General features: G+C 40.5%; 2 protein-coding genes and 1 long non-coding RNA gene across 14 annotated transcripts in view; 2 read left to right on the forward strand and 1 right to left on the reverse strand.

The window, feature by feature from the left end:
* Positions 1–26214, forward strand: part of CAST (calpastatin) — an 813255-nt gene that overhangs the window by 439175 nt on the left and 347866 nt on the right. The gene's annotated exons all lie outside the window — the stretch shown is intronic.
* The window catches only part of LOC101929710 (uncharacterized), a 669085-nt gene that overhangs the window by 438603 nt on the left and 204268 nt on the right, over positions 1–26214 (forward strand). The window lies entirely within an intron of this gene.
* The window catches only part of PCSK1 (proprotein convertase subtilisin/kexin type 1), a 42916-nt gene that overhangs the window by 10271 nt on the left and 6431 nt on the right, over positions 1–26214 (reverse strand). For both annotated transcript variants that reach the window (NM_000439.5, NM_001177875.2), the window contains exons 3-9: positions 25217–25327; positions 22710–22856; positions 21277–21353; positions 15430–15518; positions 11715–11887; positions 10171–10383; positions 7620–7720 (exon numbers count right to left, since the gene is read on the reverse strand). In NM_000439.5, coding sequence (NP_000430.3) covers positions 7620–7720; positions 10171–10383; positions 11715–11887; positions 15430–15518; positions 21277–21353; positions 22710–22856; positions 25217–25327 — 911 coding nt within the window. The remainder of the gene's footprint in view (positions 1–7619; positions 7721–10170; positions 10384–11714; positions 11888–15429; positions 15519–21276; positions 21354–22709; positions 22857–25216; positions 25328–26214) is intronic.

Here is a 26214-nt window from a genome sequence, read left to right on the forward strand (position 1 = left end):
GGCCTTGACTTCCTTCTTAGGAAGAGTGAGATGTTAAAGACACAGACTGGCTACCTGCTGTAAACATGTATTGCCTTTTTCTTTATCTATCAAAAGCGTCAAGAAACTCTTAGCTATTTGAGCTCACTCTTGCAAGGCACTATGCTAATACCATGGGGATATTCAAGGATGTGGTTCTTGTCTTTTAGAAGTTTACAATCCAGGCTGGGCGCGGTGGCTCACGCCTGTAATCCCAGCACTTTGGGAGGCCGAGGCGGGCGGATCACAAGGTCAGGAGATCGAGACCATCTTGGCTAACACGGTGAAACCCCGTCTCTACTAAAAATACAAAAAATTAGCCGGGCGCGGTGGCGGGCGCCTGTAGTCCCAGCTACTCGGGAGGCTGAGGCAGGAGAATGGCGTGAACCTGGGAGGCGGAGCTTGCAGTGAGCCAAGATTGTGCCACTGCAATCCGGCCTGGGCTAAAGAGCGGGACTCCGTCTCAAAAAAAAAAAAAAAAAAAAAAAAAAGAAGTTTACAATCCAGTAAAAAGAATTAAGGCTTTTATAATTCTATCTGGTGAGTGCTATATTCATAGCTTAACGCATTGTGGGAGTTTAGAGTAGAAAGAATTTCCATGGAATAGAAAGATCTAGGAAAACTTTGTGGGGGAGAAATATTTGAGCTGGACTTTGACAGGGGGTAGAGTGTTAAGAAGTGGAGATAGAGAAGAAGGCCACTGGAGCAAAAGCACCAAAGTGGGACAGTACAGGTGTGGCCAGATGACAGCCTGGTTTGCTGGGGCAGGGGAGAGGCAGTGAGGAGTATTGGGCCAGAGCGATGAGAACCTGGCATGCCAGAAAGGGAGCTTATACTTTATCTTTTGGGCAGTGGGAATCAGTGAGAATTTTTGAGTAAGGAAATAGTAAAATCATAAGTCTTAGTAAGATTAATTTAGCAACACTATAAAGATAAATCAGAGATATAAGGGATTGTTGGATCTATTATACTATGATGAGGCCTTCCTTGATCAGCCTATTTAAAATTTCCACTCTCCCACATGGTCCCGAGCTCTTTTATTCTGCTATATGTGCATATTCTCCTTCCATTGCACTTATAGGCTTCTAACATGCGGGAAACTCATTTGTATTGTGTTTTGTTGATGTCTCTCTCCCTGGTTCTAATTTAACCATGAGAAGTGGTGAGATCTTTATCCATCTTGTTCTCTGATGTGTAGCACCCAGAAGAATGCTGGGCACAGGGTATATATGCTCAGCAGATATGGTTGGTTCAGAGACTGAACATGCCTAAGTGCTAACTAGCCCCAAATATAATTTTAAAACATATTGCTCCTAGTCATCAGTCAGATTCTCAAACTTTTCCTCGACTTTGAGACCTGTATTGTTCCCTGAAGCCAATCAAGCATTATGTAATAAGTAGATGCCCAGTTTTTACTCCTCAAGGTTCCTGTCTCAGCACTCGGTTGGAGAACAATCATCAGGGGAGTCTGGCTCACTTTGCTGCCTTCTCCCCAGAGCCCATCATGTACTGGCTCAGTAATCCCCTGTGACAAGAAAGAGGCAGTGGACATTCCTAAACACTGAAGAGTCCGGCTCCTAGTTAAAAACCGTGTGTGATTTTTCAGGCCTGACCATAGGCGATTTCAAAGGTCTTACCTGGCACGACACACGGGGAAGCTGCCCTCCCCATGCAGACACAGTGTGCAGTTTGTGGCTCGCAGCCTCTGAGAGGAGTTTCCATGAAGGCCGCAGGCCCCCTGGCCCCTCATGTTCTTTCCATATTGACATTCCTAGCTGGTGAGAGCTTTCCTTCCTAGGTCCCTTGGTCAGGCCTCCTCGTGGAGAGAGGAGGGGAAACATCTAGACACTTTCCTCACTCAGACTCAGTGCCTGGTGCTTCTCCACTCCCGTACTCTCTTGGTCCCTCCCCGCCTCACACCTCAGAGTCCATAAAATTGCCAGAGCCTTTTGTTCGGGGCTCCCTCAGCAGTGAGATGACCCTCAAGTCTGTGCTGAGCCACTCAACCAGTATGCCAGGAACAGGGCGAGTAAGTGTTTTCTCCGGTTTCAGACTCTTGCTTATGTCATAGCAGTAAGTGACTAAAGGCTCAATGCTTTCATTTTTGGCTTGTTGAATTAATAGGCTACTCCACACCTGACAGCTCAGCTCACCTGAGCTGAGCTCCCGACAAACATACCACTTTACCCTGGAGAGTGACTGACAGAGAGGCCTTGGAAGGACACCAGTTTAGGGATCCTCAGTGAGTCCCAGAATGCTTGCCTCATGATCACCTGGTACACTTGTAAATAGAATAGGACATTTTATTGAAATGCTTGCTTCCTTCCAGTCTTTTAAAAGGAGTTTTAGGTAAAAGCCTCTTATCAAGGCAGTCAATGGGCAACACACCAGTTTTCCGTTTGGATCATCAGTATGTGCAGGTGCATGTGTGGAGGCAGGAAGGAGGAAGCGTACTGAGGAGGCTTAAGGCAAGGTGCTGATAATCATGATTATCACATATAGCATGTGTGTCCTATGTTTCTGTAGTAGAGCATTTATTTTATATGCAGTTGCAGGTTATTTTGTTTTAAAAATTTCCTTTATCTAGTCTCTGCAAAATATTAAGGAGCTTCATTGTCATGCAATTAGAAAAACCTATTTTTCTTTTTTTATTATTATTATACTTTAAGTTCTAGGGTACATGTGCACAACGTGCAGTTTTGTTACATATGTACACATGTGCCATGTTGGTGTGCTGCACCCGTTAACTCGTCATTTACATTAGGTATATCTCCTAATGCTATCCCTCTCCACTCACCCCACCCCATGACAGGCCCCGGTGTATTTTTCTAACAGAGTTATTGTTCATTCGTGTGCTTGTATTTCATAAATGAAAAGGAGCTGCTAACAACAGTGCAACTCATTCCTGACAGCCTTCCTTTGTTAATTTGTGCTCAATGACATCCACGATAATTAAATTTTTAAACACTGCATTGAGTGGCTAATCAAAGATATGTTTACAGAAAATAAGGGTATGGAATTAAACACCGAATTAAGCATTGCTTCTAATTAGAAGAGATGTAGGTAATGTAATTTGGAGACAAAATTCCAGAGTGAAAAGTCTTAGGAGCTATCTGGTTCAGCCTCTAATCATACCTAAATTAGCCTAGATCTTAAAATTTTTCTAACTTGGACTTTCTAACATTTCACAACCCACTAAGTCAAGACTTTTTTGTTGTGATTTTTTTCCAAAGGTTTCATGCAGCATTGAAAGTCCATTTCTCTTTCTCCAGGTTTTAATAAGACCAGAAGTTTGGCTTATCTGTTTGTTTAATATTTCCAAAGGTGTGAAGGGATTCAATGGTTCACTTCAGAATTTTCCTCACCTATTAAAAATTATTCTGATTCTTTTGATCTCTCCTCAGAAGGCTGAGGCTATTTTCTACAGCTTTCTTAGGTATACTCACTACATAATAATAATAGTGCCACAAACATTTATGCAAGGAATTCCTTCTTCTCTTAGTATATTTATCTCCAAGATACACCTACTAACTACCCTAATGGGTTTCTACACAAACACAGGTGGATGAGGTTGTAGGAAAACACAGTGGTAAAAGTAACTCTTTATAGCATTTGTTTCTCAAAACTTGGTTAAGGTATTACTAGCATTAAAAAGTGCCTGGGAGATTTGTTAAAAAAGGAATTCCTAGGTTGAATACCAGAAACTCCTAGGCAGATACAAGGTCTGAATAGTTGCTGGCAAAATGACCTGGGAACCTGCATGTTAAATAAACTCCCCAGGTGATGACTATATATGCTGGTACTTGAGAAACATCGCTTTGGGGAAGGAAAGTATTTCTTTGTGCATATTCAGCCAGAAACCATTCCTTCTCCTTTCCTTTTCTCCTCCCATTCCCCAATACTCTGGCTATATAACATTTAACACAGCATATTGAGTAGTCTGCTTGTGACAGAAAACTTATAAGAAACTCATAAATGCATGTTCATTTATCAGCCTCAATCTTCCGAACCCTCCTTTATTTGAGGAGATGATAGGCTGCCATTCAACATTGCCTCTCCCTCACAGGGCTGTGGGAGGCTGCAAGGTGTGGTTGCTGATAGCACAGACTTTGCAGTCAGAGAGACTTGAGTTTGAATTTCTTTGTGGGATCTTGGTTATATATCTCAACCTCTCTAAGCCTTATTTTTTCCCATTTATAGGTGAAATTAATAATTTCTATGTCATAAGAATGTTGTAAGCGTTATAATTAATATTGTATATAAAGAGGCCAGCTGTGTCTGGTCTACAGTAAGAACCTAATCAATATTGGGTGCCATTATTCTTGATAAGTTTAGGCAAGGGCTCTTCAGTCTCCATAGTTGTTCCTGTGGGATGGCACATGATTAAATGATTTTCTCATTCTTGAGTGCCTTGGGATAAAGCTTGGTCACATGTCTAGAAATTCTGGCATTCAGCTTTGGTATAGACAATTGAATAGAGTTCAGAAAAATGTTCAATTGAGAACAGAAATCTTAATAACCTCTATGTACCTTGGCAGTAAGGATATAAATGTTAAGATAGATCAGTCATACTTATCTTACTGATGAATTGAGTCAAAATGAAGGGAATTAAATTCTTATGATAAGCACCTGGGAGATCATAGACTCTTAATATCTCTTAAATCACGAACACTGAGAATCTGGTGAAACCTATAAGCCATTCCCCAGAAATATGCCATACATACATTTATAAGCAATTCTGCATTTAGTTGCAAAGAGATTCATGGACCCCTTGGAACCCATCTGAGTGTTTCACAGAAATGAAACACCTGCTTTAGAGACTGTCCATCAGAGACTGAGATTAATGAGGCTAGATCATTCCTAGATCATTTTCTCCTACATAGAAAAAAGAAGGATCAAATTAGCCAGGCATGGTGGCACATGCCTGTAATCCCAGCTACTCAGGAGGCTGAGGCATAAGAATTTCTTGAACCGGAGGGGTTGAGGTTGCAGTGAGCCGAGATCTTGCCACTGCACTCCAGCCTGGGTGACGGAGTGAGACACTGTCTCCAAAAGAAAAAGAAAAGGAAAGGATTATTTTCTGTATAGGATCATTTTCCACTATACAGAAAAAGAAGCCTTGAGGTTTTAGAAACCAAGGATTGCACTTTTACAATTTCAGCTCTTACATAAAATTGGCATTACTTCTGTTCAGCAGATGGATATTTCTACTATATTGGTCACTATACAAGGATGGGCTAGGCACGGCTAGTTATATTTACATGCATCTGACAGGTGTTGGATAGAGAAGAAAGGCTCTAGACATAAAATTTTAAGATTGCTTTCTTTTAACAGCTCCCTGGGGTAGTAGTCTGTGTTTTGAAATCTTAAATATAATAAGTCTGTTGCACAGGATCCTATAATCCATAGGACCCTATTTTCTTCCAGTCCAGACCCCTCATCACTGACCCCAACAATTCATGTTGGATTACCTATGCAGGCTGACATTTTCAATCTCAACTCTGAGAATCTTAGGAAGAGAAGAAGTTTGTAAAAAAAGGTCTCGTTTGACCCCTTCATTTTATAGATGGAAAGACTGAACCCCACAAGTAAATTAACTTGCCGAAGGCCACATAGCTAGTGGTAGAGCTAGAACTTGAAGCCAGGTGTTCCTTGCAATTTTCACTGCTTGGACAATTATTTCTCGGTTAATTTGGATCTGCTGATGCCAGTCTCAGCTTGTGTTCATAGATTTTTGTCTTTTGTCCATCTACTTCCTATTATAAGTGAACTTAGATTCTGAACATAGCTTTTCTGGAGGGCCCAATATCTATTTCTAATTGAGCACCTGAATTTACTTCTTCCCTTACCAAACATCTTGCCAGCCCCTCCAAGTAGGTGGACTCTTGGTAAGAGCCTTGCTAGACTTCCTTGCTTAGCCACTGTAGCCATCTCACAGCCGAGATACCCAGGAATATACCCCATCTCCATAGGAAGCCCCAGGGATCCTAGAGATAAACTGGACTCTCCTGGACAAAGGCTCAGGAACCTCAGGGCTTTTCCAGTCATGGCAAAGGCCAAGATATTTTTCCTTTCTGTTATTACGAACTGAGTCTACTGAATATGACATAAGGACACTGCTTTGTTCTCTCTCTAGAGAATATGTAATTTATTCTAGGATAATCTCCTTATTAGGAAGGATAATAGTAATTTACAAGTTTAATCACTTCTTCTAATATGCAACCATAGCACCTGACTTGACATTTCAAGATTCACTGTCACCACACATCAGAAAGCAGGAATGAGGACACATAAAAAGCTGTGATGTGCAGTGTGAGACAGTTCAATTTTTTTCCTCTGTGTTAAGTATTGGACTATTGGGTAATTATGAGAAAAAAAAAGTTAAATCTTTTTTTAACATCATACACTAAAATAAATTCCAGAGGGATTTAGAATTTAAATATGGTAAAGAAACCATAATAAAAGACATATAATTAATGTTTATCTAATTTGGGGTTGTGAAGATTTTTTCTGAGCATAAAAGCAAAGGAAGAAGCCTTAAAGAAACAGACTGACAAACATAACTACATACATATTAACTACATTTCATTAAAAATTACATAGAAACAAATTAAAAGGTAAATGTCAAACTTATAAAGCATCTAGCTTTTGTGAACCAAGGCCATAAAACAAAACTAAGGCCATAAAGAAGCAACCCCAGAAGACAAAGAGCTGAAGGGTATGAAATATTGAGCTTCATTAGTAATTAAATACAAGCATATTAAAATGAGATACCATTTTCACCTATCAACATAGCAAATATTTTAAAAGATAATAAAAGTAGTTTTGACAAGGGTTTTGGAAACTGGCACTTTCACACATATATTCCTGGAGGGAATATAAAATGGTATAGTCATTCAAGGCAGCATCTTGTCAATATATATAAAAATCATTAAAACATGCTTGCCCTTTGACCCAGAAATTCCAATTCTGAGTGTTTATCCTGAGGAAATTGTCAGAGATGACAACTAATATTTACTGACAATGGTGTTTAAGCATGATTAGATGACTTTAAGGAAATTTGTGTTTATACAATGGAACACTGTGAAAATATAAAACTCCTGCCTTTAAATCTCATGTCCCCTGATGTGGTTATATCAGCTCCAGGACTAGGCTTACATATTCAAAGAAAGGAGTTTTTTAAACTTGTTCCTAATACTGCCCACTGGAAACTATTTAAACAAAATCCTGCTGGAAGAGAATAAACAAAAGGCGTTGTAGCTGAGTGGGAAGAAGATTTGAGGGATAGCATGAGTTTTAAAGGTCAAAGCATATTGATTTAGACAGGAGAAAGTATGTTTAATATATTGTAGAATGGGTTTTAAAAACAGATTACAAAATAACGTCTATATTAAGATCCCAATTTTGTAAGATGTGTGTGTATTAAATCTACATTGAGATGTTAACTATGGTTAGTGACCTCGAAGTGGCAGGAAAGAGCTTATCTTTATTTGCAGTATTCCAAAATTTCTCCTGTAACCATGTATTCAGAAAAAAAAGTGTTATTAAAAATAAGGAGAATCAGCCTTTGTAAAGGTGATTAGAAGCTTTCTGGGCCTTACTTTGCTTCCAGGGCCAGAGCGAAGATGCCAGCAGCCAGAGGTGCAGAGGCCGAGGTGCCTGTGTGCGTCTCCGTGCAGTCATTGTGCAGGTCAGCGCTCGTCTGGATGACGTCAGGAAGGAGAGAAAGGCAGGGAGAACACGTGAGGAGTGTGGGCCTGTCTTGGGGGTTAACTGTACCAAAGGCTGCATCTGCTATGACCAGGAAACTCAGCTGATTCGATTGCCTACTTTCTCCTCTAAACCACAGGCGGATGTTTGCCATCTGCTGATATTTTAGTTCACCCTCTATATGCAACTTCTCTATAATTCTGGCAGCAAGATGCCTTTTCTGGGGATGAAGTACTCCCACTACGAATATTTTCTTTTCTGAGATTCCCAAACGAAATGCTGTCTATAAAAAACAAAGTTTCAAAATCACTGTGAATCATGCTGGCCCATTAATCATCGGGTCCATTGTGTTTGGTCTGGCATATTTAGAAATTCTGTCTCATACAAAATTCCCTTTTGCCTTCAGATTGACATTTGGCTGCCTCTTCAGCCCAAGGATATGAAGACATCCTGGCCTTAGCCATTTGAACTACTTGCACAAAAAATGCTTAATATGTAGTTTGCACTCACTGTTGAACTAGATTTGATACCTGTGAGTTGGTGTCCACATTTACACTTTGAGGAAAACGATGGGTCTTTAAAATGGAAAGTGTGCTGGACTTAGTTCTGGGTTCAAATTCTCTAACTGCTACTTAATAGATTTGTCCTCGGGCAAGTCATTTGGCTCCCCATCTGTAAAATGCGATTTATATTTTCTGACTCATATGCGAGACTTACCCGAGATGTTCTCTGTGAAAGTAGTTTTACATAATTTTCTTGCAAGTAAGGAATTACCCTGGCTAACTTTAGGGTAATGAAGAGATTGCTGAGATGAAGGGAAGAAACTGAAAAGACTTCCTGTCTGCCTTAAGGACCACGGCGCTGCTGGTTGGGCCAAGGGATTACTAACAAGACACCCACCCAGGCTCCAGCACCGAAGTTCTAGCTCGAGATTTCGATGTGTGGGAGGGAGGTGTAAAAAAATAATTTGTTCTATTATCACCTCCATTGGCTTCCTGCTTGGAGTTGCTGAATTTCTCAAGTTATGATGGCTCTGCTCCTCAGAGGGCTGCGGAAGCAAGGTTGCCCTTTTTACCTGTTGACGCAAGCAAGCCCCCAGAGATGACTATGCTGAGGAAAAGGTTTGCGTAAGAAAAAGGTTATGTTACTGAGACTGTCTCAAATAGAATCCACCAGCTGTCTCTCCTAAGGCTGGCTTTCTTAAGGAGGGAGTTTTACAAAGATAGAAAATCTTTCTTCTGCTTCAGTGCAGGTTACCCAAGATAAGGAACAGTCTGTGAAATGGTGATTCTGAAATGCCCAACAGGCCATTTTCTAAAGGCAGCTCTGGACACCCAGGGAAATGACAACAGCCAGGGGCTCTGAAGACAAGTGGGGCAGATGTCTGATATGCCCCTTTCAAACCCTTTAAAATGTGCCTGCCATAAAACCCCTCGGTAGAATGCCACTGTCTATTACTTGAGTAGCTGAAGAGATGCGCGTGAGAAGCAGGCCCACACTTCTAAGTTGAGACCACAGCTTTACTGTCTAAACTAGCTTGCAGAAGTGATCCTGTATGAAGAAGATGTTCGTGTTGACAATTTTGTTGAGATGCCATTAATAGGAATCTTGCACGCATTCCAAGGTCATTATTATAGGGTTCACCCACCCTCTAATTAGATCATGACCTGCTATTTCACTGAGATAGGATCTATATACTTTAGCTAGTTGGTCCTTTCTGTGTCAGGAGTTAAATTGGGGGCCTTACATTTTTTAAATTAAAGGTGTCTCCCTTTGTTCTCAAAGCCCCTAAATGCCCCTCCATCGTCATGCCCTTGAAGGGAAATCCAGTAATTGCCCTTGGCCGTCTGACTCATGGAAGCAAAGGCGCAGGCAAGCGTGGGCTGGAGGAGCTCTCTGAGCATACGACCTCCCCGAGCTGCTTACCCAGATGCTGAGCAGTTCACCTCAGGGGACACTGAAACTGCTATTTTCCTGCAGGTCATCCATTCTTAGGAGACATAGCTGGTGTAGACTCTGTATTTTTATCATCTGCGACAGGGCAGGTCAGACTATATCCCTGCTGTTAAAGGATCAGCAAGTACAAGGGTGATAAAGCCCCTACAACCCTGAGATCTCCTTTAAGGCTGTTTCCAGGGAGGCATCAGACAAGCAGAAAAGACATTTGGAGTCTCCGCTGTGTGTAATGACAGGTTTGGTGGCTTCTCAAGGCTGGGTTTAAAAATGACAGAGGGGAAGATCATCTTGGCAGAAGTGTCATTATCCCTGGAGAGAAAACTTTCTGATGGATGCCAGCCTTTCAAGTGAGTAAGTGTGAGTTCTCCCAACTGAGACATCAAGCTTAAGCGAATCAGTCGTACCAAAGGTCAGTTAGGGGAATCATTTCACATGCATGCCACGCTCTCCTAACTAAGCAGAGAGAATTAGACAAAAGCAACATACGATTCTCTGGTCGGTGTAATCTCCGCTGCTGTAAGAGGTGGCCAGTGTGGAGGAGCACTTCTCAGCGTACCAGGGGGATAGGCCTTGCTGGGAGGCACTGCTGATGGAGATGGTGTAGATGCTGTCTGTGTAGCCATCACAGTCACAATTATCTCCCTGACGCCCCCCGTTTCCCGAAGCCCAGACGAAGATGGACCCCTTCCCCTGTCTCCCCTAAAGGAAAAGCCAGAATGCATATTATCTGTTATCATCTATTGGGGTCATTGTTATATCCCAATAAAATCCCCAACGACTACATGTGTGAAATTCTCAGAGACAGCTATTTGGGATCTATTTTCAATTCCAGATCTTTTGGCTTCGATATTGGAAATCTCACAAGGCTGTGTATTATAAGCCACTGGACTCTGGCCCTGCCAGTCTCTGGGCCCTCCTGGGGTAGGGCTGAGCACACGCTTTTCTTTCTTATGCAGATTCATAATCTAGCGTTTTGCACTTGCTCATATTTTTCCACCCTTCTCTTAGTTTATGTCACTGCACTTAAATCTTTGAACTTCCTCTCTTTCTTTCTGCTTCAATCTTCTGGCTGACTGATAGAATGACAAAATTAGGAATTATTCAGATCTGCCTTGCAGCTGCATTAAAAGGGACTCTTCAATTGAATGGAACTCGTCAAAGCCGCCCTTTCTATGATTTTTCAATTTGTGCTCTCCAGAGTTTCTACTTTTGTTTCATCTTATGGAGCACAAGGCTTTAGAATCTGTGCAAGAATACAGTAAACCCAAGTGACAGAGCAATCCAACCAAGGCACAGGTATTCAACAGGCACGTGCAGAGCAGAAGGCAACACGTTTCTATATTTGAAAAGCATTTCCGCGCTTGGAAGAAGACTGAGTAGTTTTTTACTAGTGTAAAAACCCAAAAGCAGCAGGAAAATGAGTAAGGAGAAAGAAATGTCCAGAAGCACTTTTAAAATAAATATGCTAAAAGTAATAAATTTCCATTCAACCTCAGACCCAAATAGGGAAAATTCATTTTATTTATTTATATTTAGTTTTGAGGCAGGGTCTCACTCTGTCACCCAGGCTGGAGTGCAATGCTGCAATCTCAGCTCACTGCTACCTCCGCCTTCTGGGTTCAAGCAATTCTTGTGCCTCAGCCTCCCGAGTAGCTGGGACTATAGGCATCTAAGTTGAGACCACAGTTTCACTGTCTAAACTAGGTTGCAGAACAGTGCAACCTAGTTACACCTGGCTAATTTTTGTGTTTTTAGTAGAGGTGGGGTTTCTCCATATTGGCCACTCCTGGCCTCAATTGATCTGCCTCCCTTGGCCATCGCGCCTGGCCACAAATAGGGAAAACTTTCTTAAGCCTTAACTCCCATCCCTCTGAAGAATGATTTGGCCCTCTAAGTGCATTTAAAATTGTAAAGGACTTTGTTAAGAAATCCACAACAATGTTATTCCATGTAACCTAAGTGTTCTTTCCTTCTCCTCATATCCAGATGGTCAGGTTTCATTTCATGTGGGTCTGTGTAAAGCATCTTACCTGTTTGACACCATATTCAAAAGCCTTCTGGGCTAGCCGGCCAGGCCCCTCCACAGTTTTCCCATCATCATTAGGGCCCCAGCTTGCACTGTAAATATCCACGTGTCCAGGATTGAATCCAATTGAACTGGCCTCAATAGCATCCGTCACAATGCCATCCAGCATTCTTATGCCTGAGAAACAAAATAAACAAAGACACACAAAGGTTGATGTCAGTATGTACATGGACAAAAGCCCAATACTCTTACTATTTGTATTTTTAAAGGATTTTAAGAGTCAAAAACCAGGTAACTACTAGATAGATGTCCCCAATTTCTGTAACCCAGCTACTGACACCACAGAAGGAAGGAACATGTTGCTGCCCCCATAAGCTTTTTTGTCGCACTTTAGAGATAATACTATGCAATACCATGCACTGTGTAGGCAGCTGTGATGTTTTTTTTTTTTTTTTTTTTTTTGGTCCCACTCAAGGCTCTCTTCCCAGCAAAAGCTCTGGGCATTGAGTCTGAAGTGGAGCAGCATCCTTGGATGAGAGGAAGTGGCCGTGATTGTTGTCAATTACAAAATGTTTGCCCTCCCTCCCACCCCAACTAAATGACAGACCAGCTTTCAGAAAGACCCTCCAAGCAGCCCTCTGGTGATGCACCTCCTCATGGCTGTCCCACAAATGGCTGTGGCCCAGTCTACGCCACACAAGGACTCTGGACAGGAAACATGTAGCTTCAAAAGATCTAGTCACAACAGGAAACTAACAAATAGGGAAAGCACTTTTGTTTCTAAGCCCTGATTAAAAATAACCCAGAGGCCATCCTTTCATGTGTTTGCTAAGAAACATTTTCAAGGAACATGCTTCCTATTCTTCTAAATAATCTCAAGGATGAAATCATTGCCATGGATTTCACCCCCAAGGGGAATCATTTTTCATCAGGACAATGTAGGTGCGGTAGCTCTTTGTGCTTTCCAACAGGCTGTCACCCGTCATCAGACTTATGAATTCAAGAGCCAGGAAGGCAAAAACAATCTGGACAGATTACAGGCAGCTACCTGGTTATTTCTGGCTTCAGGCTCATAATACAATAAAGTGCACAGCCTTAGATTTTCACACTTATTTACTATGGAGCAAAGGTAAAATGATATGAAATTGATATGATCAGTGAAAGTTGTATTTGTAAAAAAGAAATTGTTCAAAAATGCATTTAGAGCCAGGCGCAGTGGCTCATGCCTTTAATACCAACACTTTGGGAGGCCGAGGTGGGTGGATCACTTGAGGCCAGGAGTTCAAGACCAGCCTGGCCAACATGGAGAAACCCCATCTTTACTAAAAATACAAAAATTAGTCAGGCATGCTGGCACGCACCTATAATCCCAGCTACTCAGGAGGCTGAGGCACAAGAAATGCTTGAACCTGGGAGGCAGAGGTTGCAGTGAGCTAAGATTGCAACCACTGCACTCCAGCCTGGGCAACAGAGCAAGACTCTGTCTCAAAAAAAAAAAAAAAAAATGCATTTAGAAAAAAAATCGGCCAGGTGCGGTGGCTCACGCCTGTAATCCCAGCACTTTGGGAGGCCGAGGCGGGCGGATCACGAGGTCAAGAGATCGAGACCATCCTGGCTAACATGATGAAACCCTGTCTCCACTAAAAATACAAAAAAAAAAAAAAAAAAAAAAAAAATTAGCCGGGCGTAGTGGCGGGTTCCTGTAGTCCTAGCTACTCAGGAGGCTGAGGCAGGAGAATGGCATGAACCCGGGAGGCGGAGCTTGCAGTGAGCCGAGATCGCGCCACTGCACTCCAGCCTGGGCGACAGAGTGAGACTCTGTCTAAAAAAAAAAAAAAAAAATCCCAGTTCTGCTCTTACCAGCTGTGGAATCTTGGGCAAGCCAGTTAACCCTCTGTGCCTCAGTTTCTTCAACTGTAAAATAGGGATGATAATAACAGCTCATGTGCATTCATGATAGTCTATATGCAGCCACCAATCCACAGGCTTTACATGTATAAACTCATCTAAACCTTACAACCACCATTTGAGGTGGGTGCCGTAATTCTCCTCACTTTATAAATGGAGAGATTGAGGCCAGGAAGGGATAGTGACTTGCTCAAGGCCACATAGCTTGAAACTGGGGAGCCAGAATTTGAACCCTACAAATCTAGCCCCTAAATCTGTTAACCACCAGGATACACTGCCTATAATATTTGTAGAGTAACTGACATACAATAGGTGCCTAATAAATGAAGATTATTGGTAAAAAATGCATTTGGGGCCAGACCATCAAAGGATGGAGTAATGGAAAACATCAGTAGGCTTGGAATCTTGTGTTTCAGTTCTACACTGCCACAAACTTGCTTTCATTACCTTGAGCAGCTTGCTTCTGATTCTTTCTCTACAAAATGAAGGGATCAGATGATTCTTTCACAAACTATAGCTGTTTCGTTCATTATGACTAAAAGAGTGAATTCTTTTACTAGCTAATTACATAATTTGTGCTTCTCCCTTCATTTTTTTTAAAAATTAACAGAACACTTTGAAGATGTTAGTATCAAAGGAATCAGGAATGACACTTAAAATTCTAAGAGTGCCCTATATTCATGAAAGATGCATTACATGTCACGATGTATATTTATTTGGTTTCTAAAAAGAAATGCATAACCAAATGCAAGGTATACTCATGTAGAGTTTAATGGGGTTTTATTGTAATTGAAATGTTCTACAATTGATTCTTTTTGTGATTATGGTTTTTGAAAACCAAACTAAACTTGAAGCTTATAACATAACATGAAAGCCTGAGGTTGGGATAGCATAAAGAGGAGAGACAGTTTTTTCTTTTCTCTTGGCCCCTGCAGATACACTTTCCACTCTTCTCCATTAGAACATGGACTGCATCAATGGGCTCTGTCTTCCCATTGGGTTCAGCCAACTGAAGACACCAGCAAGAGGGTGGGAATCAAGAGGAGAATGAGGTGCCTATACCCCTGAATCCCCTTTGCCTAGAAGTGGCTCTGTTGTTGTACTCAAGGCCTATCCAGTGGCTCTCTCCTGTGACCACAGCTTTCCCTCTCTATTTTCTGCTGACTTCTTCCCTTTGCTCCTTGAGGCTAAAGGTGATAACATCTGCCTACCACTTCTTAGCCCCTTGTTGGTTTTCTCTAATTCTTGTAAATCGTTTCTTTATTAAAATGTCCACAGTTGCCCTAATGCAACTTACCATGTGTTTCCCCATAAGGACACTGATGAAAACAATTAAATCCTACATCCTTGCTATAAAAGATAAAATTTGGCTATTTAATATAATAAGTATGTACTTTTTTTAAATTTTGAAGCTGTTCTTCTCTATAAAGTGAAGAACTTCTACAGAATTGAGAGGCAGGAAAAGTCTTTGCCTAAATTTACCTCCTCCTTCTGTTTCCTTAGCAAGCACTCAATAACAAACCATTCTAAATCAGAACATAGAGAAAATTAGATTTGGTTCAAATGCTATTCAACATTTCCACATTTTTTTTTCCTGCAAAGATGTATAGGCTATATTCAACTATCCATTTTCTAGGAATCCATATCTATTGACTCGCTGGCAAATCATATTCAAGTCCTGTAGCAACTTTGGCATGGAACTAATTTGTTCCTCCAGTTGTTAAAAAGAAAAGCTCCCCTCCCCCATTTACAATGGGTGATGTAAGCTTCACATTAAAATGCCAAGCTATAGGGACAATCCTCTGTTTTACCTCCAACTTTGGAATTGTATGCAACTCCAACCCCGCATTTGTGATTATTTGCTTGCATGGCAATTTCTCCTGCACATCTGGTCCCGTGTCTGAGGATTGAAAAATAAGAATTATAAAACATACAGAAGAACAAACATTTGTTTTGCATATGAATGAATTAATGGGGCATAGGTATATTAACTTTTTGTCGGCCTTGTTACTGTTTTTGTTTGTTTGTTTTAAATTAGTATAACATAAAACTTATGTTCAGATGAAGGGCACAAGTATTAGAGACAAAGTATGTGATTTCAAATTCTGGCTTCTGCCATTCACTAAGGGTGTGACCTTGGGTAAGTTACTTGTCTGCAAAGGCTTGGTCACATGACAAATTATATGTAAAACACTTAGAGCAGTGGATGGCAGATAGTAAGAACACAGTGAGTGTTAACTATTGATACTATTATAAGAACTCTGACATTCAGAAACAATTTCAGAGAAATGGCTTCTGCTTTGTACTTTTTGGTAGCAAAGTGGCTCCTCACTTTTCTCCCTAGTGACTGCCTTGGATTAGATTATCCTTGATCAGCCTTAGTAGGATATCCTAGAACAAGTCCCCTATTAAGCCCTCCTCCTCTCCTCTAAATATATGCCACACTAAAATGTCTGAAGATTATCTGGTACCAAGAGGAGCTTGAGATATTTGCAAGACATTACCAGCTAATTGGAAAGCCAAGATGCTCCTGAAATCCCAACTGGGGCCAGAAGCCTGAACATGATTGGTTTTGCAGTCAAGCAAAGAGGGTAATTTATGATTTCAGAGTATTTGGAAGAAAAATGCGTCTTCCAAACACCAAATTCCACCACTAAAGCATCTATTCTGAAATTCTGAGGATGATAATTGTCTTTTCCCACCACCATCCTGACTCAGGAGGGCCAACAAGCCAAAAGCACATTAATGTGAATTCATTTATTTCGTGATTTTATTCTATTGTGGAAACAACCTGTAAGAGTGTGAAGGCTGTTGGTGGCTTGGAGGAGCCTACCAGATATACCAACATAGAGTGAAAGAGAGGAAGGGTTAGCTCGGAGCAATAATGTTGGCCAGTTACATTTCAATTCTACTATACTGGCCATCTATTAATTCAGCATAGCATGGAATATAAAATTCCTAAATTGACTGGCCATCAAGAAGAATTGTTCAACTTCTCTTTTTCCTGAAGTAGCAAAGATGATTTCCTGGTCTCCTTCCACAAAATAAGATTCCTGCTCCTTCATGTTAATCCTGGCTAGGAATTCTAAGTCAGGACAATATAATTATCTTTAATTCAAGATCTTTCCTGATGCAGCAAACACCTGCTTCTTTTATGTATGCTAGCATTTTCCTGTTTGGGGAAGCAGCCCTCCTGACTTTTTGTGATTTTTTTCAATCATGGGGCCCCTCCTCTCAGACAACTTTCAAGGACTGATGTAGATTATAGGGAAGAAACCCCACTCTTTCTTGAGAATTATGAGCTTTAAGTTCCATGTGAGTCATATGGGTCTTGCTCTGCCAGGCAGGATTCTCTTGAAAGTGAAGCCAAGCAGAGGCGAGCAGCACTAGAGATGGAAACAGAGTGCTTGGTGTCCTGAGAACATATTGTTTGAGCTCTTGGATCTTGAAACATCAGAAACTAGAACATCACTTGGGTGAATATTTTTAAAATCCCTTTGTTACTTAATCTTTGAGTTAGGATTCTTTCATTTGCAACTGAAGCTGTCCTGACCACACCATTCTCTGAGAAAAGTGCACACATCTGAACATACAGAAGGCAACTTATGCTTTGTGGATGGATGAACGCTCTTTGCCTTAGTAGAAGGAGTAATTCAGTTGTCATCTCTGAGAAATGTACTTCCAGAAGTCACCACTGCCTTCTTATATATTTCCATGTATACAGGATGGGAGACAAGGCTCAGGTCAGCAAAAGAATCCAGTGCAGGTCTTCAGCCTGAGCCAACAGAATCAATCTGCTGACAGACATCCCCAGGTTTGTGCCTTTGTCCTAAAAAATGATGCAGTGTGACAGCACCTATTATTTATCTCTCCTTGTATATGGACGACTATTCTCTAGTGAGAGCTGCAGGAGGATCATGGTACAAATATGCATTGACATGTTTTCCTCCTCTTATCCTCAGGTTCCACCTCCAAACGTTGAGAGAAAGAAAAGTGTTCCTATGTCATTCTTTATAGGCCGCAGCTCTTTTTCTTTTCTAAGTGAGGTGCTGCAGTAAAGAACTTTCTATTATCTTAGAACAATGGTAGTAACTGGCATTTAAACAAAATGATTTGTTTAAAAATTATTCCATGAGATAGTTTAAATACTACCCTTATTCTGGTTAAAATATCCTTGTCACATTTGTTATTTAACTAGAAAAACAATCTGTAATTGGTGTTGAAATAATGAATACAGATTTATGCCAGCTTAATGGTAAGCATTACCTGCACTGTTAAGATTTTATTATTTAGTGATTCCTCTTTTGACTTTCAGAGTAGCATTCAAATGTAGCTTCTATTAATCTCATTTACGTGGTAATAAAGAACAACAGCAATACTGATAGTTTGAAGAGATAATAACCTTGGAATTGGGGTATAATACCTCTCCAATTGCTGTAAAGGCCAAGACAAAATGGAGCCATTCATTTTCTAAACCTAAGGGCTTTATGTCTGACAACATGCTAGAAGGCAAATCTACTTTTTATTATACCTTCTGATAAATGATAAGGATGCCACCTTTTTGGTTGATAGTCAAGAGGATCCTGAGAGAGAGTTGCTCATTATGTCATTTCCAAATAGCAGATTCTGAATTGGCTCAGAAAATTGACTTGTCTCTGCTGCTCCCATCGGATGATATTATTCTTGTCATGTTGATTTCTCACTGAAAGAAGGTCTACCTCAGTTACTAAATGAGAAGCTGTGATCATTATCATCATCATCATCACCACAGCAAACACTTACTTAACTTTTTTGTGTACCAGTGTCCAAGCCATATATATGTGTATGTCCAAGCCAAATATCCTTGTCACACATGTTATTTAAGCCATATATATACATATGCACACATATACATATATGGCTTAAATAACAAGTGTGACAAGAATATTTTAACCAGAATAAGGGTAGTATTTAAATATCTTGTGGAATAATTTTTAAACAAATCAATTTGTTTAAATGCCAGATATACAGATATAGATATAGATAAATAATCTACCTCATTAAGTTAGAGGTATTAAATGAGTTTATATGTATATATATATTAAGTGAGATATATATATATATATAAAACCTCACTTTAACCCCTAACTCAATGAAGTATTATATATGTTATATAATACTTATTATATATATATATATAAACTCACTTAATACCTCTCTCTCTCTCTCTCTCTCCCTCTCTCTCTCTATATATATATACACTCACTTAATACCTCTAACTCAAGGAAGTAGAGATTCTTTTTCAAAAGATGATAAAACTTAAGCACAAAGAAGTTAAATAATTTCCTCAAGATCACCCAACTACTAAGTGGCAGATCTAAAATTTGACCTAAATTTGGCTCCCAAGTCTGCTCTTAACTGTTGGGCTATGACATGCTCTCTCAATGCTGTGTGGAAGATTCACAGCAGGCTATGATCTGGAAGCTCAGGGCTTTCAGGCACAAAACAAATAGCATTATATGGGCTGCTTCCCTAGGGCCTTTGCAGGTAACTCCCTGAGTCAGGGAAATTATATTTTATTTTAATTATTATATTCATATATATAAAACAACTATTATAAATGCTGTGCTGTGAGATCCCCTTTGTTTTGAGGAAGGTCTGAGTGTTCCATCTCCTGACTGGAAAAACTCCAGAGAATGTCATTTCATCAAGAATTCGCCCACTATGCAGCCATCGTACAAGTTATCACCCACACTGGATCCTGGGGCCAGACCCAGGATCTGCCTGGAAGGACCGTATACTGCCTAGGAAGGAGCCAGTGCCTCCATCTAAGTCTCCTCAAGTGTCTGGGAACAGATTTCCCGTAGTCTTAACCAAGGGGGTGGAATGAAAGTTGTTTCTACTCCACTCTAAGAAGGCTTATTATTCCAAGTGCTTATTAGCCATTTCCTCAGGAAGTTCATTTAAGAAACATAGGGAGAAGGTACGTTGTCACCCAGTTTAGGGGAAGAAAATGGAATAGAGGCAGAGAGAGGTAAGTGATTTCTCCAAGGTCACCCTTTACTCTGGGAATTGGCAAAGCCATAACTACATTGCAAGGCTGTGCCCCAAAAGAGTAGATGTCCTTACTGGTCCTGCATTATCCTGCTTCAGACATATAGCAAAAAGTTTGTCTGAGGGTCTGCTGTAAGCTCTCGAAACACTCCCACTTTGCTCCAAAGGTACCCTTGCCAGTGGTTCCTATTGTGTTTTTACTGGAATGTTTTCACCTCTAAGGGATATTTGCGGTTAACCCCTTTAGTCACCCTCAAAGAAATAAATGGTACGGAAAGAAGTCATATCCCTGAACTATCCACAAGCCTCCCATTTTCCCCAAGGAAGAAATAAACACCCAGAAGTTGAGGCCAAGTCCATGTACCCCAGCCTCCCATCCTGGGGTTTGTTGGCTTTCTGGAGGGAAGACTATCCAAAGAAAGAAATAACTTTAGATCAGTATTACTGCACCAGCCACTTGGGAGTTCTGAGGGAGAATAAGGAAGGGAGGGAGGGAGGGAGGGAGGAAGGAAGAGAGGGAGAGAGAGAGAGAAAGAGAGAGAGAGAGAGAGAGAGACAGAGACAGACTTGTCTGACCCAAGTTGGGTAACAGTCCAAGAGACAGTGCCATCCAGAGAGAATAAAGAAGCGCTTCATGTGACATATACCAAGAGCTGTTAGATGCTTGGCTTTTTCCATCCTCACTTGTAGCAACAAGCCCTAATTTTGACCTTGGCTTTGATCATTTTGGTGCAAGTCTCTTCTGTGTAGAGAAAATGAAAAGGAAAGTTTGAGTGTCTCCTTGATGTCTGTGAGAACATCGGTATGAGCAAAGATGGTCTCTCCCATGGGCATGGACACTTTGAGGGTCCACATGCCTAGAGCGTGAAGTTTCTTTGGGGCTAGGAGAGAAGTTGAAAGTCTCTTGCCTCTGGGTCTTTCTTTCACCTCTCCCTTTAGAAGATCTTGCTCTTGGCCTCTGTGGCTCTTGGCCTCTCTCACCATAATGTGGCTTCAAGGGACAGAGAGTTAATCTGGGAGTCGGGTGCTGTCTCCTCTCTCTTTCCTATGGCCTTATAGCAGCAGGAACTCTGGAGGAGACTTCCGGCTGGCTCAATGCCCTGGAGACTGTGTTGGATTCAGGGGCCAGACCTCAGAGGCATTTCTCTGTCTGGAGTTTGGCCATGCTCTTCTGAGAGAACTGGTGAAGGTGACTGTAGCCACCGTCAGAAGTTGTGGGCATTGTTCATATCCATTTCTTTACATATATTTCTTTTCATGACTAACATAAAGCATGTTGCTAAGAGTAAAAGATTCATAGAGGAATTGAGGGGAGGGATGGGCTCAAAGTGTGTACTCTTTATGTCTCAAACATTCTTTCTAAAGCTACAACAGTTCAGTAACATTTGAGAGGAGAATTTCATAATGTAAGAAGTTTAATGAAAATATGGTTCTATAAACCAAAGGGAATATAAAAATAGAAACTTTGGTTTCTGTTTTAAAAGCAACAAAATATTGTGGTATGGATGTTGTGCATTAACATTTCCTGAGCACTGGAATGTGGATGAAATATATGGTATAATTTTCTCAAACAAGATAAAAGCATTGTAAAGTACTTTATTTCACACAAATGCATATTTACTCACTTGTTCTCGTTTGTGGGATCATATCGGGGAAATGGATCATGGTCATTATCATTAAAATCATAGCTAGCCTCTGGATCCTAAAGAGACAACAAAATATAACACTGTGGCAGCATTAAAAAAAAAAAAAAAAAAAAAAAAAAGCATCACTTCCCAAGCCTCTTACCCTATGCCTTCCCATCCTGGCTGATAGCTCAAAAGCCTGCATTTTAGAGTTTCTGGCCGAGTCACTGAATATTTATTTTACTCACAAACCAGGCAGAGATGATGAACACAGCCAGGTGAGCCAGCATTCAATTCTCAGTGAATGTTACCAAGCCTATGGTTCACAGGCACTCATGGGATATTGGAGTTGGAAGGAATTAGTTTACTTAGTTCAGTCATCTCAGTTTTCAGATGAGAAAATTGAGGCCCAGAGAAGTTAAATGACTTCCCTAAGGCCATAAAGCTAGTTAGTGACACTTTGACACTCATCTCTCTTATGAATATAGGTGCAAAGAAGTGGCTGAGGGTGGGACTCAGGTCCATGGTGCTCTCCTTCAGCCTCCCAGGCACACTAAATAAACATGTAATTTAATTTGAGAGAGGGTGCTTGAAATTCAAGACAAGCTTCCAGGCTCCACTCCCTTTTCCAACCCAATAGCTACACTTAAACGCCTCCCGCATACCCTTACTGTTACTTTTCAATGCTTTCCGTATATTTCAATCATTCCTAATTTCTACTCTGTGCTACTATTTTTCCTTCTCTTTTCCTTGGCTCTTTAGCTTGGTGTTATAGCTGGGGAATGTTTGATAGGTGGAAAGGATGAGAGAAAAACAAGGGATAATCTGAAAGATGAAACACCAGCCTCCTGATCTAAAGACCTAAGATATATGATGGTGTTCATATTATATTATAAACTTAATAAACAATGAAGCAAATTGTTTTTATTTATTTATTTTCCCATTTCTAGAAAACTTTTCCTTTCTCAGCTTGGCATAGGTGCATTGTGTGGTATTCACTTTGGATTTGCATGGAAGGAATCACATTCATATAATTTTACAATGTCAGGGATATAGACTCATAAAAGAGGTGAGGAGGGAAACTGTGACAATGATCTCAGGCAAGGGGCTTGATTTGATTACTTTAATGCCCCAAACACTGAGCAACTCAAAGTCATCAGATTTTGGTAACTTAATTGGTGTAGGCACTGCCCCTTCTTCTCCCAACACATATACTTTTGTACAATTTTTGATCCCACTGAATTATTTCAATGCCCACTGGTACAAAATAAATTCATATAAGCTAGTGGGAAGTGGGAGAAGGGACATAACCTTGGCCCATAATCCCAGGGACTGACACCAGAGCAGCATCCCCTTGAAAAGAAGGAAAGCCCTAACTGTGTGTCTGCACAGACAGCTCCCTAAGTCACAGTCATGAGAAGGCACACACTTACATAGTTGGCATAAATGTCCGTGTGATTCCACTCCAAACCATCATCCAGTACGGTGATAACAACTCCTTTGCCCGTAATGCCTTTTTGCCAAACAGGTATCACATGAAGGTCCAGCTTGGGCAGGGCTGCCGTCATCCTGGTATCTTGCTGGTAAAGAAAAACAACGAAGCATTGATAAAATTATCATTTGCTTGCTACAAAATGGGCACTTCAGTTCCAACCTGGAGACCCATCTTTCTTTTTCCTTGGGTCACTCTACTCTTTAGAAGAAGCCAATTCAGTGAAATGAGAAAACAAAGTTGAGAGTAAGGCCAAATGAACCCCCAGAGTGCTGCTCTTCTCCCGATTGTCCCAAATGGACATCACTTGAAAAGATGAATCACCTGTGCTCCTTCTCTTTGAACTACATGGCTTTGAAGAATTTTATCCCTAAATTTCTTTCATTTATAATAACATGCTCAACCCTTTCATCTATGGAAGCTCTATTTGATAGTCGATGTTTTCATCTCCCCCCAAATCCTGATTCTCCATTGCCACATTGAGCTCTCATTATATTGCCTGGTGCATAGTCATTCATGAATGTTTTAGAATTTTTATTCTAAAGGAAAAAGCAGAACCTGGAATGCTCAGGAGACTGTGATTGCCTCAGGAATTGCAATGTGATTGCCTATTTTTAAGTATGAGTGATTTAGGGGGTAAGTGTCTGTGAGAGGAGATTCAGGGTTTTCCTTTTAAAATACATTTTCTGATAGTCAGAGTGTGGGACTGTACAGGAGATAAGTACAGGGTAGCAAGGGAACACAGATATAAGCACATTTCTAAGCATGTGAGACAGAGACAGTAAAAGAATGCCAGGTACCCGGTGAAAGGGTCAATAAGAAATCTATAAATAACCACAATCAAAAGTGTCAGTGAAGGAGCTGCCCTCTTGCTTTTGTGCCCTCCTCCCCATAAAGAGGTTGGGGGGTGGGGTGACAAGTATTTGCCAGGCTGGTATGAAGCTGAATCACAGGAGGCTGGAACTGTACACAGATTGTTGGCCAAAGTCAGAGAAGAAGGCCTCTATGTCAGTTGCAGGAACAATTTTAGACTGTAGTTGTTAAGAGTATGGACTCTGGAGTCGTGAATTATAGTCCCACCACTAGCAGCCATGGATTTTGGCAAATTATTCTACTTTCCAATATCTCTGTTTTTCCATCTGTTAAATGGGCATAATTACTATTTCTACAACACAGACAATCATGAGAACAAAATGAATTAATTCATATCAAACATTTTAGAATAGTGTTTGTCACACAGGAAATGCACAAGTGTTAACTGATAAGTCTCTTCTGCTGCAATGAGCAAATACTTAAGATAGTGGCAAGAGGCCCGGTGCGGTGGCTCATGCCTGTAATCCCAGCACTTTGGGAGGCCAAGGCGGGTGGATCACCTGAGGTCAGGAGTTCGAGACCAGACTGACCAATGTGACAAAACCCCATCTCTATTAAAAATACAAAAATTAGCTGGGCATGGTGGCGGGCATCTGTAATCCAAGCTACTCCAGAGGCTGAGGCAGGAGAATCGCTTGAAGCCAGGAGACAGAGATTGCAGTGAGCTGAGATCATGCCATTGCACTCCAGCCTGGGCAACAAGAGCAAAACTCTGTCAAAAAAAAAAAGAAAGATAGAAAGAAAGAAAGAAAGAGAAAGAAAGAAAAGAAAGAAAGAAAGAAAGAAAGAAAGAAAGAAAGAAAGAAAGAAAGAAAGAAAGAAAGAAAGAAAACGTAGGGTCAAGAGAAACTGATCCCCTTTTCTAACCCTTATGCAACAAGAGTATCAAAGTCTTAGCTTGTGTTTTTCAAGAGAAATAATCTTTTATAAAATTCTCAACAACAAATCCTTCTATTAGCCTATACTACTACCATACAGACGTAACATTAAACAGAAGAGAGGACACCCTGCAGGTAGACAGCAACACTTAACAATTTCTTCGCTCAAGGATTTGGTAACTATCTTAAAGGTAGAATGGTTTGCAAGTCTAGACATTTGCAATAGACTTTTCTTGTGTTCCTTCTTTTAACCTCTTTCAGAGATTCTCATCTGTGTCATATAAGAATTGTCATTCAGGGTTGTATATGCCAAATTATGTTCACTATACTCTGTGAGTGCTTTAAAGGGTTCTGAAGAATAACTTTAACCAAATGAGATTTTTGCCACAAGTACTGTTTTTGGAAACCCTAACCTGCAAGATATTATTTTTCTGCATTTATCCCAAATAAACTTAAGAAGACAAAAAATACAACCTATTTTTTTCACAGCAGCTAAAGATATCTGTTTCCAACATCCTTACTCAGCAAAACAGAAGAGGCAGATCAAGAAGATCCCATCAGCCCTAATCTCCAGACAATATAGCTCCCTATGAAATTCTCCATCATAAAAAAAAAAAAAAATCCATGTTGCAAATGTAACAACATAAAGAAGCCAGGTCCCAGGTCCCACCCACATAGTCCTTCTGTAGGTACTTACCAAGTACCATTGCTGATTCCACATGGGATCATTGAAGAGATTTAGTGCTGAGTCCCTTAGAGCTGAACGTTTACTTCTTTCTTTTTCATACTGTTGTTCAGCCCATATCACCTACAAGGATTTTTATAGCAAGAAAATCAAAAGTCAAATATCTACCTCTGTATACTTCCTCTAACTATCTCCAGTACCCTTCCCATCAGAGTTCAGGCAGCTCTGCAATATTTTCATTTGACTACAGATTAAACTGGCACCTCAGTGAGAAGAAGGGATTGCCCACTGGGGAGATGAATATTTCCTCTATTACAGTAAAGTGCACCTTTAGGGGGAGGAGAAGCAGTCAGTGAAATGATAATTCCCTAAATTATTTACATTGTGGTTACAGTGGAAGCAAAAGTTCAGTCTGCTTTCATCAGCAAATGGACCATAATACTCATTTTTATATTGAGGTTTCAGGGCTCCATGGCTGAAAATTTGTCTGCTTTTATGGATTGAGTCAACAAGCCAAGAGACTGCTGTTATAATGCTTTTATAGATTAATTTCTCTGTCTTTACATACAACAGGTAGAAATTGCAAATATTTTATAAAGTAAGAATGGTGCTGTATCCATGCAAATTTGAAACTCCCTCCCCTGTGCTTCGACCTCTGCTTAAAAGTATTTAATATGAGACACAGATCCTGGGTGATGAATGAGCACTACTGACCACGCACACTTACCATTAATTCAGTCTCATGTATTATGCAAAGAGATCTGACAATACGAAAATTACCTGCCCCATATTTACAGCATAATACTATTATACTTGAAGCCCTGAGAGAGTGAGGGGCTGCCTTGTAGTTATATTCATTATGAGATAATTCTATACTCTTATTTTTCTTGGCAATATGACTATTTCCTACCCCAAACACATCTTTTCTGCTGTATGCATGATGACAATTCAGTGTGTGGTGGAATATTGTTAATGTGAGAGTACTCATGAATCAGCTCCAAAAATAAAAA

The sequence above is a fragment of the Homo sapiens genome, chromosome 5 (assembly GCF_000001405.40).
Source record: "Homo sapiens chromosome 5, GRCh38.p14 Primary Assembly".
NCBI classification, from domain to species: domain Eukaryota; kingdom Metazoa; phylum Chordata; class Mammalia; order Primates; family Hominidae; genus Homo; species Homo sapiens.